The sequence below is a fragment of the Homo sapiens genome, chromosome 2, assembly GCF_000001405.40.
Source record: "Homo sapiens chromosome 2, GRCh38.p14 Primary Assembly".
Lineage (NCBI taxonomy): Eukaryota > Metazoa > Chordata > Mammalia > Primates > Hominidae > Homo > Homo sapiens.
This window is the reverse complement of record NC_000002.12, coordinates 165,768,327-165,786,827: the sequence shown is the minus strand read 5'-3', so window position 1 is coordinate 165,786,827 and position 18,501 is coordinate 165,768,327. Positions and strand designations below refer to the sequence as shown.

The following is an 18,501-nucleotide window of genomic DNA, read 5'->3' as shown; positions in this document are numbered from 1 at the left end:
CTATTTTCCTCCCTATTTTAAAGATAGGAAAATTGAGAGATTAAGTATTTTGCCTCTATTTACAAGGTTAGTGAAAGATTAGAGCCAAGACTCAAGTCGAAGCAGTACAATTCCAAATCCTGCACAGTTCGCCTTCTGTTTCCATGAGTTCTGTGTCCATAGATTCAAACAACCTTAGATTGAAAATATTCAGGAAAAAAGTAACACAACAATAAAAAATAATATAAAAAAGCACAGTATAACAACTATTTACACAATATTTACATTGAATTAGGCATTAAAAGTAATCTAGAGATGATTTAAAGTAATTGGGATGATGTGCATAGGTTAAATCCAAGTACTGCATCATTTTATAAAAGCGACATGAACATCTGCAGATGCTGGTGTCCACAGGGGTTGTGGAACCAATCTCCTGCAGATACCAGGACATGACTGTACATTTATCCTACTTACATGTAAATAAAGTAAAATAGGGTTATTAAAAGACTTCCAACAACAATAAAAATCCAGTCAACTCTGCCCCTCCTTTCTCGTCTCCCCAGTCCTGTTGCCTAAAAGCAACTACTTTCATTTATTTAAATGTTTCTTCTAGCCCTTACCTTTTCAAATAATATGCTTATACTGCTGTTTCTTAATGTATCAATATTTGGCAATATCTACTGACTTCCTATTATGGTAGATAAATATTTAGCTCTTTCATACACAGCCACCTCTACTCTCCCTCCTTGACCTCCCAACATAATTCTCACATTGTTTGTTTGCATTTTAGTATTTATTTACTGTGATTACATAGATATTGTTTACTACAGAGTCAAGCAAGCATATTACGAGTAGGATTCCTTACTTGTAGAATTTTTTTTTAATCCTAGAAGTAATAATGAACTCATTTAAGAAAACACTTGGCTTAGTGTTTCCATATATCTATTGGAGTACAATTTCTATGTACTCTAACATCTTTTCAGCTTGGTTTTCCATGTAGTCTAACATAACAGATTTATTTGTCCCTTACTGGAGCAATCTGTCCTCTTGCCCCTGTTCGGACTGTTGCTCTCTAGGCCTGTTCCGTGGTGGTTGTTCGGAATTTCTTTTTGCTGACATCTCTGATAGAGCCTCTGTTCCTTAGATACTATGACTTTTGTTTTTTATTCACCCCCTCATTTGGATGAAACACATATCCACCACTAGCTTGCTGGAAAATGGTGCATGGAATGAAGAAATGTGAGATATTGAATGTCTAAAACTCTTTATTCTACCTTCATACATTTTCCTTTCTGTTTTATTTAATTCTTAAAAATGTGTTAGTAGTTGCAGTTGTTTGTGAACTCCAGTTGTTTGAAGTTCACAATTTTCAAAAGTTAGGAGAGGTATATGATAAATCTTCCTTTCACTGTTGCCCTCTGACACCAGTTTTCTTCCCCAGAGGTAACCGATGCTATTTTTTAAAAATATAAAAACAATATGTATGTTTTTTCCCTCTTTTTAAAATACAAATAATTCTTGCTTTTTTTGTTCCCATTTAACTATATTGGGATCATTTCATATCAGCATATAAATTGGCCTTGTTTTTTACTTTGCATAATATTTAATCATATTACTCCATCATAATTTATCTCTTTCCCTATTGGTAGAGTTCTCGGTTGTTTCAACCCTTTGATATTAGAACAATGCTTTAATGTGCAAGTTACAGGTGTGCCATTTCACTAGTGCATTAGCGTATCTATGGGATTTCTAGAAGTCATCCCCACATCTGATTGATGCTTTTATAGAGACTACAGTAGTAAGCAGCCCTGCAAGTTTGATAATTCTGAGTCAAATGAGATAAGGAGAAAGGGGGAAAAACACCTGATAGTAAATACTTAATGGCAGAGGGGGCTCATTTCTAGAGGACAATTAATAAAGCAGACAGGGTTTCTCATAGAAATTATTGTTTTCTTTGAGCTTTTTGAACATGACCTTTGTTTTTTCAGATGTGACCCATCATTTTGAACTGGATAAAACTTGTTTCTGTTGTTACCTCAGTCTCCTTCTTGTACTCTACCCTCTATCATTGCCTCTGTTAGTTTCACTGGCCTCTTGTCTCATATTTTTGAGTTCTAGGTCTACCACTGAAGATAATGCAGAAGAGAGAGCATTCCATCTGCTAGCACCTTTCTTTTTCAGGATGGGGTCTTGATGTGTTTCCTAGGCTGGTCTTGAACTCCTGGGCTCAAGCAATCCTCTTGCCTCAGCCTCCCGAGTAGCTGGGATTACAAGCACCTAGCTAGCTAGCACCTTTCAACAAGTCCAGAACACATCCTTAACACCCGTCACAACTTAACAACCTCTGTAGCCTCCACATTGACTCATTTGCTGAGTTCAGCTAACTCTACTTCCAAAATCTGTTTCTAAGCTTCCATGCCCCTTATATTTATCTCTTGCCTGGACTACTTTTAAGGGTATCCTAATTGCCTTTAGCCTCCTATCAGGTTTTTCTACCTCCCCAAAAATTCCATATTCAGCACAACTTCAACGACAATCATTCTAAACTTCCGTTCTCATTAGGTCATCACCTTGCTGAAAACTCATCAGGGCCTCTCCCTTTGCCTAAAGAATTAAATATAAATCCCACTGAATTAAGCACCCCACCCTCCCCTATTTGGAGCTTGGCATCCAGTGTGTGTTTAGTAGGCCTCACTGTGTATGGTAATTGACTATGCATGGTTCTGGGTAAAATTACCCTACTTGAGGCCAGCTGTTGATAGAAGAATTAAAGTTTAGGCTGAGACCGGTTTATTTCCAACCCAAATTTTACATTAAAGGAGCTTTTCTTGTGCCTTAACCATGAAGAGTGGATAATGCAGGAATTTCAGATGGTAGTTGGAGAAGTGGAGGGATATTGTTCGCTTCAAATTAGGCACATATATAGCCTAATCTTAAAGGTAGACACAGATTTTATGTATAATAAAAAATGATGTTATGGAAGACTTGAAAAAAATTCTGTTTTATATCTGGGGAGGTGGCAGCTAATGGGGAAGGGGTAAATATGGGGAGACTTACAAATATTGAGATTGAAGTCTTTTAGAATTTCTAGAGCAGGGGTTAGTAAACTATAGTTCTTAGACCAAATTTGATCCACTACCTGTTTTTGAAAACAAAGTTTAATTGGAATGCAGCTATGATTATTCATTTACAAATTGTCTTTTTTGTACTACAACAGAATTGAATAGTTGCAGTAGAGACCATATGGCCAGCAAAGCAAAAAAAAATTTGTTATCTAGTCCTTTATAAAAAGTTTGTTGACACTTTTTCTAGAGGGTAATGGAAGCTGAGAGATGGAGGAGGAGTGTCTATCACATCAGCATTGGTAAACCTGTAGAAAGGTGAATGCAAAATGATAACAATTGAGCAAGCAATCTTCTTTATTCCTTCACCCCCTATTCCTTAATATTTTTGGGGCCTCAAAGGAAGAATGAATGGAGAGAAATTGCCTACTGCTTGTGTGTGTTTGGACTCCTTCAAAAAAGGAATGGTTGGTTGAATTAATTGAATGCAACCTGCCCATCCTCCAAATACATGCCATGAAAAGGCCCAGTAGACACTCCTTTCACTAAAGTATTAAGAAGTACATTAGTGAAGGGATTCCCTGCATCCATGAAAAAATCTGTGCCTGCTCTCCTTTGTAGACCATTGAAATTGGCTCTCTGATTTTACTGGAGATGATGAAATTCCATAGTAGCAAAAGCCAAGTGGCAGTAAGCCCTTATACACCAAATACAAAGTATATACATCTCCCACAATGAAAAGCTGGGCCATAGAGGTATCAGAAAACATTGGCTTGCAGATGTTTCTGACAGCTGAGATAATGTCTTTGGTATATGCCTAGTGGTAGCTAATGAATGAAATACGTAAGCAGTACTATAGCATCCCTTCATCTATATAATAGGAAAATCTCTAGCTCTGGTAGCAAAAAAGTTAACTTTAGTTGCTGCAATCAAGAGTCACAGCATCTCACTCAGTTTTCAGACCTAAGTCAATTCACACTCCCAGAGCTTTTCCCCAAAGGGACCTGTAGCCATTTACCAGAGACTATGCTTTGGGGAAAAGGAAATAATCAGACCTTTCATACTAATTCCTAGGGGGACCCAAAAATACTGTGGCCAACTGTTCAAAGTGGAGACTTAAAAGTGCTCAGGTAACAAATGGAGTCTTAGCTCCAGTTGTACTCATAGTGGGTCCAGGGGGTCAGCAGATCTAGCCTGTGCTTATTTCCCCAGTTCTTTAATGAATAATTGGAATAGACATACTGGGTAACTGGCAGAATCTCTATATTGACTCTCTAAACCAAGCTTGTTTAACCTGTGGCCCATGGGCCACATGCGACCCTGGATGGCTTTGAATGTGGCCCAACGCAAATTTGTAAACTGTCTTAAAACATTATGAGATTTTTTTTTTTTTTGTAATTCTTTTTTTTCCCCCAGCTCATCAGCTATCGTGTTAGTGTGTTTTATGTGTGGCCCAAGACAATCCTTCTTCTTCTAATGTGGCCCAGGGAAACCCAAAGATTGGACACCCCTGCTAACCCATAGAGAGAGGACCATGTGATAGGAGAGCTGAGTAGAAGGCTTTAGAATTTCCCCTTTCTTCAAAGATAGTAAATCAGAAGTAATAACATATCCCTGAGGAAACTCTCAAGATTGATGTCACTATCAAAGATTTGAAATAAGACTTGTGATATCTATCACATCCCCACTTAGCTCACTTATTTTGCCTCGGCAGAAGTTAAATGGATCTTAGAGAATGGCTGTAGACTCCCCTAAACTTAATTATTGGGTGACTCCAAATGTAGTTGCTGACCCAGATGTAATATCTTTATCAAACCACATGGCCCCTGGCATTTGGTATGTAGCTATTGACTTAGTTAATATCTTTTTCTGCCAATTTACAAGGACCACCAAAAACAATTTGTTTTTATCTAGCAGAGCCAACAATATGGCTTCACAGTCTTGCCTCAGGGCTAGATCAATTCTTAATCTTAATCATCGTAACATTTCACAAGTCATCACACTGATCCACTACATTGATGATAATATGCTGATTGTCTCTGATGAGAAGAAAGTAGCAAATACTTTAGATATCCTTGTAGAGCATATAAGAATTAGAAGGTGATAAATCAGCCCCACAAAAATTCAGCAAAACTTCTGGGCATTCAGTAGCCACTATGCTCGATAGGCTTTTTTTTTTTTTCTTTTTTGAGAGGGAGTATCATTCTGTTGCCCAGGATGGAACGCAGTGGTGGGATCTGGGGGTCACTGCAACCTCTGCCTCCTGGGCTCAAGCAATGTTCTTACCTCAGCCTCTTGAGTAACTGGGACCATAGGTGAGCTCCACCACACCCGGCTAATTTATGTATTTTTTTTGTGGAGATGGGGTTTTGCCATATTACCCAGGCTGGTCTTGCACTCCTGGGCTCAAGCAATTCGCCTACCTCAGTAGTGCTGTAATTACAGGCATGAGCCACTGCACCCAGCCTCAATAGTCATTTTTGAATTTGGGGGCAACATTTACAACATTTGAATATGCTACCTCAACCTGTTTACAGAGTAACTCATAAGGCTGCCAGTTTTTAATGATGATCAAAGTAGAAGAAGGCTCTGCAGCAAGCCCAGCAGTACAGGCTATGCTACCACTTCAGCTTTATGATCTAGCAAACTCAACGACTCTCTTGGTATCTGTGCCAAAGAGGAATGCTCTATGGAGCCTCTGGAAAGTGCCAATAGCAGAATCACAATACAGACATCTAGGGTTTTGAAATAAATATTTTCTTCAGATAACTGTTTACTTTTTGATAAACACCTTCTGACTTGCTACTAGGTAGATATTGAATGCATAATTATGGAGTGTCAGGTTATCATGTGGACCAAGTTTCCCATCATTATCTGGGTAAAATCTGACCTATCTTTCCATAAGGTTAGCGATGTACAACAGCAATATATCATTGAGTGGAAATAGTACATGAGACAGAACTAGAGCAGATCTGGATAGGACAAATAAGTTGCATGAACCAGGGACTCAGACTTCTTTGGTAGCAACTCTAATGGCATTGCCTTGTCTCTTTCAACTCATGCCTGTGGCTTCTTGGCGATTCCCTTAGTCCATTTGTTAGAAGAAAAAACAACAACAACAACAACAACAACAACAACAAAAAAACCCCTCAAACCTGATTTGCAGATGAATCTGAACAAAACACTAGTACTACCCAAGATTAATGACTGTGTAGCACTATAGCCCTACTCGTGAGTAACTGTGAATAATACTGGATAAGGAAAACTTTTCTGTAGGCAGAGATTTGAACAGTAAATATGGTTGTCCACCATGTTGGGAATGAGACATGCCTAGAAATACAGATCTATATTGGTCATCGATGGGTAGTTGTTAATGGTTTTTATGGTCAGAGTTGGAAGGAACAGGATTGGAAGATTGGTGACAAGGTAGTTAGTTTGAGGAAGAGGTATGTGAATGAACCTTTCAAAATGAAAAGACCCTGAAAGAATTTGTATCCCCTCTGAGTGCCCACAAAAGCACATCCATTGCAGAGGAGGCTCTTAATAATCAAGTGGACAAAATGACACATTCTGCATGTCAGTCAGCCTATCTCTCCAGCTGTCTCAGTGGGCCCATAAACAGGAGTCTTGGTGGCAAGACTGGAGCTGTGTATGCATGGGCTCAGCAACATGGCTTCCCCTTTGTAAAGTTGACTGGGATAGCGCTGCTGCTGAGTTCCTAATCTGCAGAATCCAGCATTGAGCCCCTGCGGGGATCAGCCAGCCTCTGGGTGGCAGGTTCATTATACTGGATTTCTTCCTTCATTGAGGGGGCAGAGACTTCTCCTCACTAGAATAGACAAGTATTCTACATATGGATTTGCCCTTCCTTGACATCACCAACATCTGTGGACTCCTAGAATGCTTAAGGGCATGGTGAATACAGAGTAGTAGTTAGTGTAAGAAAGAAGCCATAGATATTCATTATGGCCTCGCAGCCAATTATGTAAGTGAGGATTATTGTAGGTTTGCGTATTTTTTCTTTAAAAATTTTTTTTCAATCAGCTTTCTCAGGTTCAATGCACATTTTTTCTTTGCCTCTTATATCTAGGTTTTTTTTGTATATGTTAACAATTTTCTTCTCTCATTTTCATTTTAAAAATGTTAAATAGAAGCCGTTGGAGATCAACTTTCCAATTTAGGTAACAGAATATTTAGTGGGACTGTGACAGAATTTAAGGAGTAACTCAGAGTCACAGCAATGACTACAATAGCTGTTAGGACTCTATGTCTCTCGTTTTTGAGGAGATAGAACTTCTTCACTTATAAAGAAGGACAGTTAGACTTTGTTAGGTGAAATATAGAATTGTGTTGTTATTGTACAGGAGTTTCAGTGTGTGGGAGAGGGTGCATGTGGAAGCTGAGTAGTGAAAAGTGTAGACTTTGCTGCTTATCAGTTTACTGTCTCTTAGTTCCAAATTTACTGTATTAGCCTGCTCTGTAATAATGGAGCTGGGCCTTGTAAATTTCTTTTTTGCTGGCTCGTACAATGTTAAGCCTTGTCAGTAGAGGGCACTGGAGGGACACTGAAGTGGCTGAGGCTTCTCTTTCTGGTTTCTGTGATGCTCACTGGCTAAGCTCCTTTTGAGCATAGTTTTCCTCCACTGCTCACTCCCCAGTATGATTTTCTCCAGTACTAGGTATCTGCAGAACACAGCTTTTTCTAGAGTTGGTGTTCCCCACACACTGCACTTTCTTTAGAGCTTGATTTAGGCAGCAGTGGTGTACCCTTGAGACACAGACACCATGGACCTGCTCTGTCACCTAAGTCACTGCTCCCCAAACTCTCTCCTCAGATCCACACATGCCAAACTCGGGGCCCCACAAGACTGGGTGTCTAGGGAGCCAGCTGCCCAACCTTTGTCCCAGGCAGCCAGCCCAGAGCCGTTGTTACCTGTGTGGCACATGAAAGTTCACTAAACTCCTGCAGGGGACAACCTCTGTGATTCCAGATTCCCTCAGCAGCCAGCAGTTTTCCTCAGCACCTAGCTAGTTCTAGGGTTCTGTCCCCCGGCTGTGAATGGCCTCTTCTGGAACTTCAGGGGCAGATTTCTGGTAAGTCCCATGAATGAAGTACTTCTATGACTTTTTACCAGGTAGTCAAAGCTAGGGCATCTCCATAGACATCTCTGGATCTCAGCCCTGGTGAGAGGAGAGCCCTTCCTTGAACACTTATTTCAGCCATAGGGGGAGTGGTTGCCCCTTATACTGTATTTACAACTCCTGTATTCTTTAGAATTCTCCTTAACTCCCACTAGGCAATTTCCTGTTACTCCAATCCTCTTTTAATACCAGATTGTATTAAACTTTCTCTGTTCAAATTAGCATGTGGTTTCTATCTCCTTACTAATCCAAAAGCCAACAACTATGTTTACAAGGTAAATAGATGGACAAATGTTTTAAAATGCAGTGCCTCTACCTGGGGGGCAGGGAATACCAGTTACATGAATAATCTCTGGATCCACCTAAATCACTCCTCAGAATTCCTCTACTCTGTAGTATGCCATAAGTAATCAATGCATATCTTTCATATGTAATGTAAAAGTCATTCACAGGTGTAGATGTGGCAGGAAAGAGCATGTGAGCCCCTGAGTTTGTGACTCCCTTGACAGATAATGTAGTATCATAATTACTTGTTTGTGTCAAACTGTCAAGATAGAGTTGGCTAGCTCACAAATCAAGATTCTATCAGCAACCTTTCACATTCAGAGATGACGATGAGGGAGATGTCTACCTGACCAGGGGTAGCTGAGAAGTTGGATGTCTGACCCTGTCCTTCTCAGTATTGAAACCTGTGCCTCACGGTTGCTGATGGTTAACTCTGTCACTGAGCTTTTTGTCTCACAGCCTGCAGATATCTTGGTTCAGAAAGCTGTTCTTAGTTTATAACAATTGCAAGTAGTTTAGTCATCCACTGGTGGCATTGCCCAGCCACCCAGAGTAACTCTACTTTGCCTTTAGCTGAGATCTTTGAGGTATGTCTACTGCTGCCCCCTCTGAGACAGAATGTGGCTGTCTTCATGCAGTTTGCTTTGCATCAGTGTTTGTCTCTTGTCATACATCCACATGCCACTTCCTGCTCAGAAGAAATGCTGCCAAGAATGTAAACATGAACTTAAACATAATCAAAACTAACAAACTACAGCAGCAAAACACCATGAGATTTGACCCACCAATAAATGCAAGCAGAAATGACTTTCTGCCACTCCTCTGTTCCCTAACACTTTAACCAGTAGATGAGGGGCACATAATAAAACTTCTACCCAAGCACTTAAAGGTTTATTATCAGGGCAAGGTCTTTAAATTTTGTTTTTCTTTGTTTTGTTTTGAATTCAATTAGGAAATACAGATGATAGATAATGTGTGGCAAAGATCCAATGAGTTTTATAATAATTCACAATAGTGTACTTTTCTTAATCTATAATCTATATTAGGATATTGGGATGTAATTTTGTTTTTTTTCTGCTTAGTGTGGTTACCCCTAACTCTTTACAGCATGCCTTAACTCAGTAGTAAGGAAGTTTTGTATACCAAATTAGACATCACAGCAATTAAATTCATCAGGAACCAGACTTTAAACTTCTGGAGTTGTAATGGTTTATTGTCACAAACATGGAAACAAGAAGTGAGAGGAACCACTATCTTCTTATTTCATTAAATGTTACTTTCATGTAAAATTATAATGTTCTGCTTTCCACTACTTCAGAAAATTGCTACAGTTGGAATTTTTAGGTTAAATGAACAACTAATATTTCTGCAACCTATGCTTCTTCACCTAGAGGGACAATCATGATGGATCTTACCTTGATATTTTCCCTTCTCAATTTGTGTTTAAACAAGATCCCCAGGTGATTCATAGTCACTTTAAAGTTTGAGAAGCTGTAGTCTAGATAACTGGAAGCTACCACTTGTTAGTTAGATTATTTTAAATTTGTAAGATTTCAGATGGAAGCATATTTTTACCCCTGAGAATAATCCATTGATTTTAACATAGCGAGTGTCACAACCAGTTAAAATTGTGTATATTGCTTTAGCTTTTCACTTTATGAATATTTTTATTAATGACTTTTTGCAATGGCTACATATATACCAGGTTACAGATTAATAACTTTTTAAAACCAGGTCTCTGAATTTCACTCTTAGGAATTCATAAGAATTTAGAATTTAGAAGATCTCTGAATTTTTCTTTTCTTTTTTTTCTTTTTTTTTAGTTTTTAAAAACTATTTCATGATTTTTGACTTCTCTTCCTCTGTGAATCTGATCTTTGGTAATTAGCAAATAGCCATCTTGGATAGGTGTGTTTAAAGGTTTTAGAAAGAGTACAAGAAGAACAAACCCTTTATCTGCTAATCATTTCTAATGTGCAAATATGACATGTTATATCCTGAGTTTGCTGTTGTGCTGATTTTTTTCTTATCAATTCTCAAACTTCTGAGTCCAACTGGAAGTTGACTGTAGGAGAGATTTGTTTTGTTTCACGAGCTGTTTTTACGTAGGGCTTCCAATTTGGCAGGTAGTACTGACAAGGAACATGGCATTATTCCCGGAAAAAGGCATTAAAAATCCTGGTTTCATTTTACTCATTTATTTATTGTGTATCTTTTGGCTTATGTCTTTTATTGTTCAGGTATCAATTTTCCCATTTTTATGATTGGAATAAAATATTTATAAAATTATTTTACAGAAACATAATTTGCAGTAAAACCTCAGTGCCTCATTTATATCAGCGTAAATCCCTGAGTCTTTTTGGAAAACTGTGGGTCATTCTTGCCTTGGATTTTATCGTGTATCTCCATGTCTAAATAACTTCTATTCATTTACATCAAGAATCTATTTTGAAACACCCATCTTTGGCTTATTAGAAATTAGTAATGTGGTTGCCTTTGGACAGATACAACCCTTATCAGATGCTAGTTTTGATTTGCCCAAAATATTGTGATCTAGACAAGTAATTCTTAACCCTTGCTGCTTGTTAGAATTATCTGGAGAGCTTAAAGTAACAACAAAAGCAGAGTATATGCCCTGCCCCCACATCAATTAAATCAGAGGTGAAGCCTAAGGCACTTTATTTTTTTAAGAGCTTTTCACTAATGTATATCCAGAATTGAAGACAGCTGATGGAGATGCTTAGTGTTGAGTGTCATTCAGCATTAATGGAAGCCTAATATTGCACATTAACAGCAAAGTACAGAAAAGTCATAATGAAAATCCCATCAATGTTGGAATCTTTAAGTGATCAGGGTTGATAAGAGAAGATTAATCCCTTCAGAAATAGTCTGAAAAGATCAAAACATCATCTTCCTACTTCTAGGCTCTGCCTCTGTAAGGTTCTCAACCTCTTAATCTTCCATTTTAAGATCTACAATCTTATTTTCAATCTTTATTACTGAAATGGTGCTTTGAAAAGTTTTTAAAAATCATTTATTTGTAAAATATTACCCAATGATAGGAAGCTATTTGTAGTTTTTATGGTTTTTCCTCAGTTTTTTTTCTTATCGCCTTTTATTTAGGATATCAGTTCTTGACTCTTAAACATTTTATTTTAGATAATTTCAGTTAAAAGCTCAGGATTTTACATTGAACTTGAGTTTGAACAGAGTTAGAAAAATGCTGGTCTTAAACTGAACTGGCATGGCCAAGCCACTTAATCTCTTTGACTCTCCCTGTCTGTCAGTAAAATTGGAATTACAAAGGCTAGGCGCAGTAGCTCATGGCTGTAATCCCAGCACGTTGGGAGGCTGAGACAGGAGGATCCCTTGAGTTTGGGAGTTCAAGATCAGCCTGGCTGGGCAGCATAGTGAGACCTCATCTCTACAAAAAAAAAAAAAAAAAAAAAAGAGAGAAGAAGAAGAATACTTCACAATATTGCTGGGAGAATGAGAACTTATGTATTAAATGTTATTTAATACCAGAGACCTAGTCAACATTTAACACAAGTTAAGTTTTGTTTTTGTTGTTGTTTCTGATGAAATCTTGGTCCTCTTTCTTCCTTTTTCCAGTCAATAAATTTTTCTGGGTGCCTACTATGTTATCAACATTGTGGTAAGGGCCAGAAAAACAGCCATGAATAAGATGCTATCCATGTCTCTCATGAGCTTTCCTTGACTCCTTTATCAGAAGCATCCCAAACTAAAACCTACTAATTGAATGGGTCTTTACATAGATACACATGCACTCACAATGATAGGATTACTGTCATTCTGATGAACAATTCCTCTAGTTTATGATTTATTCTAAAAAGAACTATCTTCTATCTGCGTCATTAATTCTATCCTTCTTTTCAATTCCCACCCTATCCACAAGTATGATTTCTGACATAAAATGTTTTGGGAAAACTATCACTACTGTAGAAGAATCTAGTTCTGTCATATCTTCCTATTCTGTGCTTTCTCTGAACTCTTTTTCCATGTTCTGTCAAAATAGGGAGTCCAGCTCAATTCTTCTCAAATTCCTAATTTAGCCTACTTCTAGCTGCAGAAAAATTGACTGTCACTCGATAGCCCTGGGGAAGGGGATTTTTGGTAGTCCCCTCAGGAACAGAAAGGAGGTGAACACAGGTTGATGAATATCTACCTTTTGTCAAGATACAGTTAGAGGGGATGAGGTTGTAGTTCATCAACTGGGAACCACTTTCCTGTGAGACCCCAACATTTTGACCATTCTTATCTTCCGGAACCCCATAGGTGAGGTTGCTGCCCTATTATTCTGGAAGTGCCCTGAATCCTAAGCCTTAGGATCTTGAAGGCATGACTACAACTACTCTCTCTGCCAAGGTTCTCTTCTCATTTTTCACTAAAGCCCATTAGGCCAGGTCTAATGAAGTTCAGTTTTAAAGGTCAACCAACTGTTGCACATTTAACATCTCTCAAGAGTGAGATAAGATTGTAAAATTACTTCCACTTGACGTGGATAATTTATCTGTGTTTTCATTTGTCTTTTTTTTTTTTTTACCACCCCTCCTTCATAGGATTGGAAAAATTGGACTTTCCAGTCAGTCTCTTTTTTTCTACTCTTAAATGTAGGTATTTCTCTATCCTCTTTGTTTTACATTTACCCCAAGACTGACTCAAATTTTCATCTCTACTGCAGAACTTTTTCCTAATTTCCAGTCCCATATATCTTTTTGCTCTTGGAAACTCACTTTGGAAGTTCCATTAGCATATTACATTTGCTATGTCCAAAACTGAACAAATTATCTCCTTAATTCCTACCCTGAATCTATCCTTCCTGTGTTTCTTGCCTTTGTTAATGTTATCACTTTACTCATTTGTATTAGTTTGTTCTCATGCTGCTAATAAAGACTTACCAGAGACTGGATAATTTATAAAGAAAAAGAGGTTTAATGGACTCACAATTTAACATGGCTGGGGAGACCTCACAATAATGGCAGAAGGTGAAAGAAGAGCAAAGGCACGTCTTACATGATGGCAGGCAAGAGAACATGTGCAGGGGAACTCCCATTTATAAAACCATCAGGTCTCGTGAGACTTATCCATGACCATGAAAAATAGTATGGGGGAAACCACCCCCATGATTCATTATCTCCATCTGCCCCTGCCCTTGACACATGGGGATTATTACAATTTAAGGTGAGAGTTGGGTGGGGACACAGCCAAACCATATCACCATTCATCTCCCATTCTTCCCTTTCTCTCACCAAGTCCTGTTGTTTGATTCCACTTCCTGGACTCTCTTGAAATCATTCCACTCCATCCTTTGACCCACCTCATCTCATTAATATCTATCACCTTTACTGGGGCTGAAAAACTTGTGATTTTTCTAAAACATAAATTTGATTGTGGTCTTTTCTTAAAAACAGTCCTCTCCATTCCATCTATTTTGGAAAAAATTGGTAATTTCCAAATTCACTGAAAGATGCACAAGGGTTTTTATGAACTGATCTTTAACTGACCTTCAAGCCACATCAGTTGTCATTCTCTCCCTGTGCCTTCCACTTATGCTGTACTCAAGGACTGACCATGCCTTTTCTTGCTTTTATGGTTTTGCATCTGACATTCCCTATTTTCCCTCCTGTCTAACTGCCTAAAATGTACTTGTATTTCAAGATTTTGCTCAACAGTGTCATCTCTAGGAAACTTTCCTTAACATTTCTCCTGACCTTCTACATTGTTTTCCCTTTTTTTTTTTTTTTTTTTTTTTTTGAGACAGAGTCTTGTCCTGCTACCCAGGCTGGAGTGCAGTGGCACAATCATAGCCCAATGCAGCCTTAACCTCTTGAGCTCAAGCCATCCTCCCACCTCAGCCACCTGAGTAGCTGGGACTACAGGCGTGCACCACCACATTTGACTAATTTTTGTATTTTTTTGTAGGATGGGGTCTTGCTATGTTGCCCAGGCTGGTCTCGAACTCCTGGTCTCAAGTGATCCTCTGGCCTCAGCTTCCTAAAGTGTTGGGATTATAGGCATGAGCCACTGTTCCAAGCCTGTGTAGCTTTCTTAGTCTCCTGTCGTAGCACATATCACACTGCTTTGTGACTGTCCTCTGGCTTCCTATATTTCAATTCTGCTTCTTGAAGGTAAGGGCTATCTTTAATTTCTTAACCATAGCCTACCACAACATTTGACACATAATTAATTACACAACTGTCATAGTGTGGTTCTATAACTTCTTATATTCTTTTCAAAAGCTTAAGAGGTCATTTCATTTTTTACCTGAAGTTCTTAAAGCAACCAAACCTCAGAAAGATTGGAATCTCACTTTTATGAGCAATATATGTCAGAATTGGGGTTATCTTTTGGAGCAGAAGTATCCACTCCATACTGAAAAGAATATAGAGCACTCCAATTAGAAATAGTATATAGAACTAAGTTCTGCCTATTTTGTTTATTCAGCTTAAAATTTCCTGCCAAAAGCCAGAGAATCCATCTTAGAACCTGGTTTTCTTATTTTAAATTTAGGGAGAACTTTGGAAGAGAAGTTAAAGAAGGTGTCAAAAGTTAATTTTCATTGCTATAAATGATATTTTCTTTAAAATATGTTTAGACCTTAGGAAGAACAGGCATTTTCCCTCCCCTTCGTCCCTGCAAATTTCTTGACTGGCTATCGCGGCTCATAGTATGTAATCGTTTCCTAAAAAGTCCTATTTTTCTTTTCCTTTGCTCCTGTTGTCCCATATTAGGGTTTAATAAACTTGCTGTCCTGTTCTTAGGGTCAATTGCAAGCAATATTTTATCAAACCAAATTCTGCTTTTTTAACTTTATGACTTCTATAGGCTCCCTACAGACACTTCAAGTAAAGCTAATGAATTCTCTTTTTACTATTAGATCTTGTATTTCTGTGAGCTATTAAAACTAGCTGTTATATAACAACAAATTAAATGCTGTTGATTTTCTTGTTTTTAGGGGTTCCTTCAGGAGTCACAAGTACTATTGGGTTGGAAAATCTGGGAGAATAATAGTTTACTTACTGATGAAACTGCTGTATTATCATTCATTAAGCTGGAGCAGATCACAGTTTGAGGGTAAACTACATAAAATGAAGGCCACTATTTTAGATGGATGCCTAATAGTACTTATCAGTATACCCTTACTTCCTTATGGAGCTCTCTTTTTTGTAATTTATTTAATGAGGTCCTTTGATTCCTTGGTTATCAAGTGAAGATATTCTTTTTTAACTCAAAATATATTTATAAAATTAATTTTATACATAGTATATAGTGGATATTAGAGTTTAAAAAGAATGTATTTTTTAATGGAGAGGAATATCAATATTTTTGCAACCCCAATAAATTGTAGTAAATTGTAACAATTATTTTCTTCCAAAAGTGTAATTTTCTTGAGGACAAGATATCTTTGTATTCTCATTAACCATAAGAGTACATTGGTAGCTTATGTTCAGTTGTTGGTTAAATGAATGAATTGAGCCATGCCTGTAGGACTGAATAGCTACTAATACCATCGATCATTTCTGTTTATAGGTACTACCATTAAAGATACCTTCTTCTCAGCAAATCTATGATAAAAAATATAAGTAACAGAAGAAGAAATAACTGTTATTTGTCAAGTGACAAGCTTTTAATGTCAGAATGGCTCACCTAAAGCGACTAGTAAAATTACACATTAAAAGACATTACCATAAAAAGTTCTGGAAGCTTGGTGCAGTAATTTTTTTCTTTATAATAGTTTTGGTTTTAATGCAAAGAGAAGTAAGTGTTCAATATTCCAAAGAGGAATCAAGGATGGAAAGGAACATGAAAAACAAAAACAAGATGTTGGATTTAATGCTAGAAGCTGTAAACAATATTAAGGATGCCATGCCAAAAATGCAAATAGGAGCACCTGTCAGGCAAAACATTGATGCTGGTGAGAGACCTTGTTTGCAAGGATATTATACAGCAGCAGAATTGAAGCCTGTCCTTGACCGTCCACCTCAGGATTCAAATGCACCTGGTGCTTCTGGTAAAGCATTCAAGACAACCAATTTAAGTGTTGAAGAGCAAAAGGAAAAGGAACGTGGGGAAGCTAAACACTGCTTTAATGCTTTCGCAAGTGACAGGATTTCTTTGCACCGAGATCTTGGACCAGACACTCGACCTCCTGAGTATGTTGAAGAATATTTATTGTTTATTCTTTATCACCAGGCTTTGCAGGGGAGAGAGGGGTGAGCTAAGGAAGTTATCTGTTTTTTAGCTACTCTAAGGCAGAAAATCAGCAAATACTGTTTATTTAACCTGTTGTATTTATTTTTTGCTTATAATGATTGAGGCTACATATCCCTATTTATGCTTGGTGAGGCAGTGCAGATATGAAAAGTTATTAGCTTGGAAATTAGAAAACTGAATTCTAGATCTGACTGCTATCCACAAGGAAATTCTTTATTCCTAAATACTGTGGTTTTCTCATCTATTTAGGGGGAATTATTGGACAATTTGTATAGGAAGTAGAAGGTAGAGGAATTGTTTCCATTTCTCTGTATTTCTTTAGAATAAAAATGTTTAAAAACATGCCAAGATTTTGGAACTGTTGGATAATATTTTATATATGTGTAAAGCAATTCACAGACTTTGTGATTACTTTGACTCAAAGTTTTTGAGTACCTAATTATATTTCAGAATGCCCTATTTTTTGTAAACAATCCCAAGTAGCTGGGATTACAGGCGCCCGCCACCACAGCTGGCTAATTTTGTGTATTTTTAGTAGAAACGGGGTTTCACCATGTTGCCCAGGCTGGTCTTGAACTCCTGACCTCAGGTGATCCATCTGCCTTGGCCTCCCAAAGTGCTGGGAGTACAGGCATGAGCCATTGCACCTGGCCCACCCTCAACAGATTATTTATTTATTTATTTATTATTATTATTATTATTATTATTATTATTATTTTGAGATGGAGTCTTTCTCTTTCACTGAGGCTGGAGTGCAGTAGTGTGATCTCGGCTCACTGCAACCTCTGCCTCCTGGGTTCAAGCGATTCTCCAGTGTCAGGCTCCCGAGCAGCTGGGACTACAGGCATGTGGCACCACGTCCGGCTAATTTTTGTATTTTTAATAGAGACAGGGTTTCACCATGTTGGCCAGGCTGGTCTCGAACTCCTGACCTCAAGTGATCCGCCCACCTCAGCCTCCCAAAGTGCTGGGATTACAGGCGTGAGCCACTGCACCCAGCCCCTCAGTAAGTTTTTAAGTGTACAAGATAGGCCAGGTTTGGTGGCTCACACCTGTAATCCCAGCACTTTGGGAGGCCGAGGAGGGCAGATCAGCTGAGGTCAGGAGTTTGAGAGCAGCCTGGCCAACATGGTGAAACCCCGTCTCTATTAAAAATACAAAAATTAGCCGGACAGGGTGCCGTGTGCCTGTAGTCCCAGCTACTGGGGAGCCTGACGCTGGAGAATTGCTTGAACCTGGGGGCAGAGGTTGAAGTGAGCGGAGATCTGTGCCGTTGCACTCCAGCCTGGGCGACAAGAACGAAACTCCATCTCCAAAAAAAAAAAAAAAAAAGAGTACAAGATAAGCAAACTGGAAGCAAACAATGCCTGTGTATTTTGCTTTGCTTTCTGGATATTAGAGAATTACATTTGGCAGTGAACTTGAAGATAACTTTTGGTCTATTGTTTCACTCAGGTTTTTCTAGATTTAGGATTATCAATACTGGATCCAAGTATATGAGTCCCTTAACATTGAAACTGTGTAGCTTAGATTTCTGTTGAGCTATTCTAATCTGATTGATTCAAGTTTAGGTTGCTCATAATTTTTAAATGAATGTGTAAAGAAACTAATATCTATAAAATATTCTAGCTGATATAACAAGGCACATTATAGTTCCTTTCATACAGTAATAGATTAGAATGCAGTATTGCACTTTACTGACTTGAAGAGAGGTTTTGATTGAAAAGTAATCTACATTAAAAATCAATAATCATGATTTTTATTCTTTTGACATGACAATCAGTGACAGCTCAAAATG

The 18,501-nt window shown here is 38.1% G+C and overlaps 1 protein-coding gene across 5 annotated transcripts in view; it reads left to right on the top strand.

Moving 5' to 3' along the window:
* The window catches only part of GALNT3 (polypeptide N-acetylgalactosaminyltransferase 3), a 47,105-nt gene that overhangs the window by 7,865 nt on the left and 20,739 nt on the right, over nucleotides 1–18,501 (top strand). For 4 of the 5 annotated variants that reach the window (XM_011510929.2, XM_017003770.2, NM_004482.4 and 1 more), the window contains exon 2: nucleotides 16,020–16,642. In XM_011510929.2, coding sequence (XP_011509231.1) covers nucleotides 16,128–16,642 — 515 coding nt within the window. In that variant the 5' untranslated portion in view covers nucleotides 16,020–16,127. Of the gene's footprint in view, nucleotides 1–15,135; nucleotides 15,564–16,019; nucleotides 16,643–18,501 lie in introns of those variants that run through there. The other variant, XM_005246449.2, reaches the window with a different exon arrangement.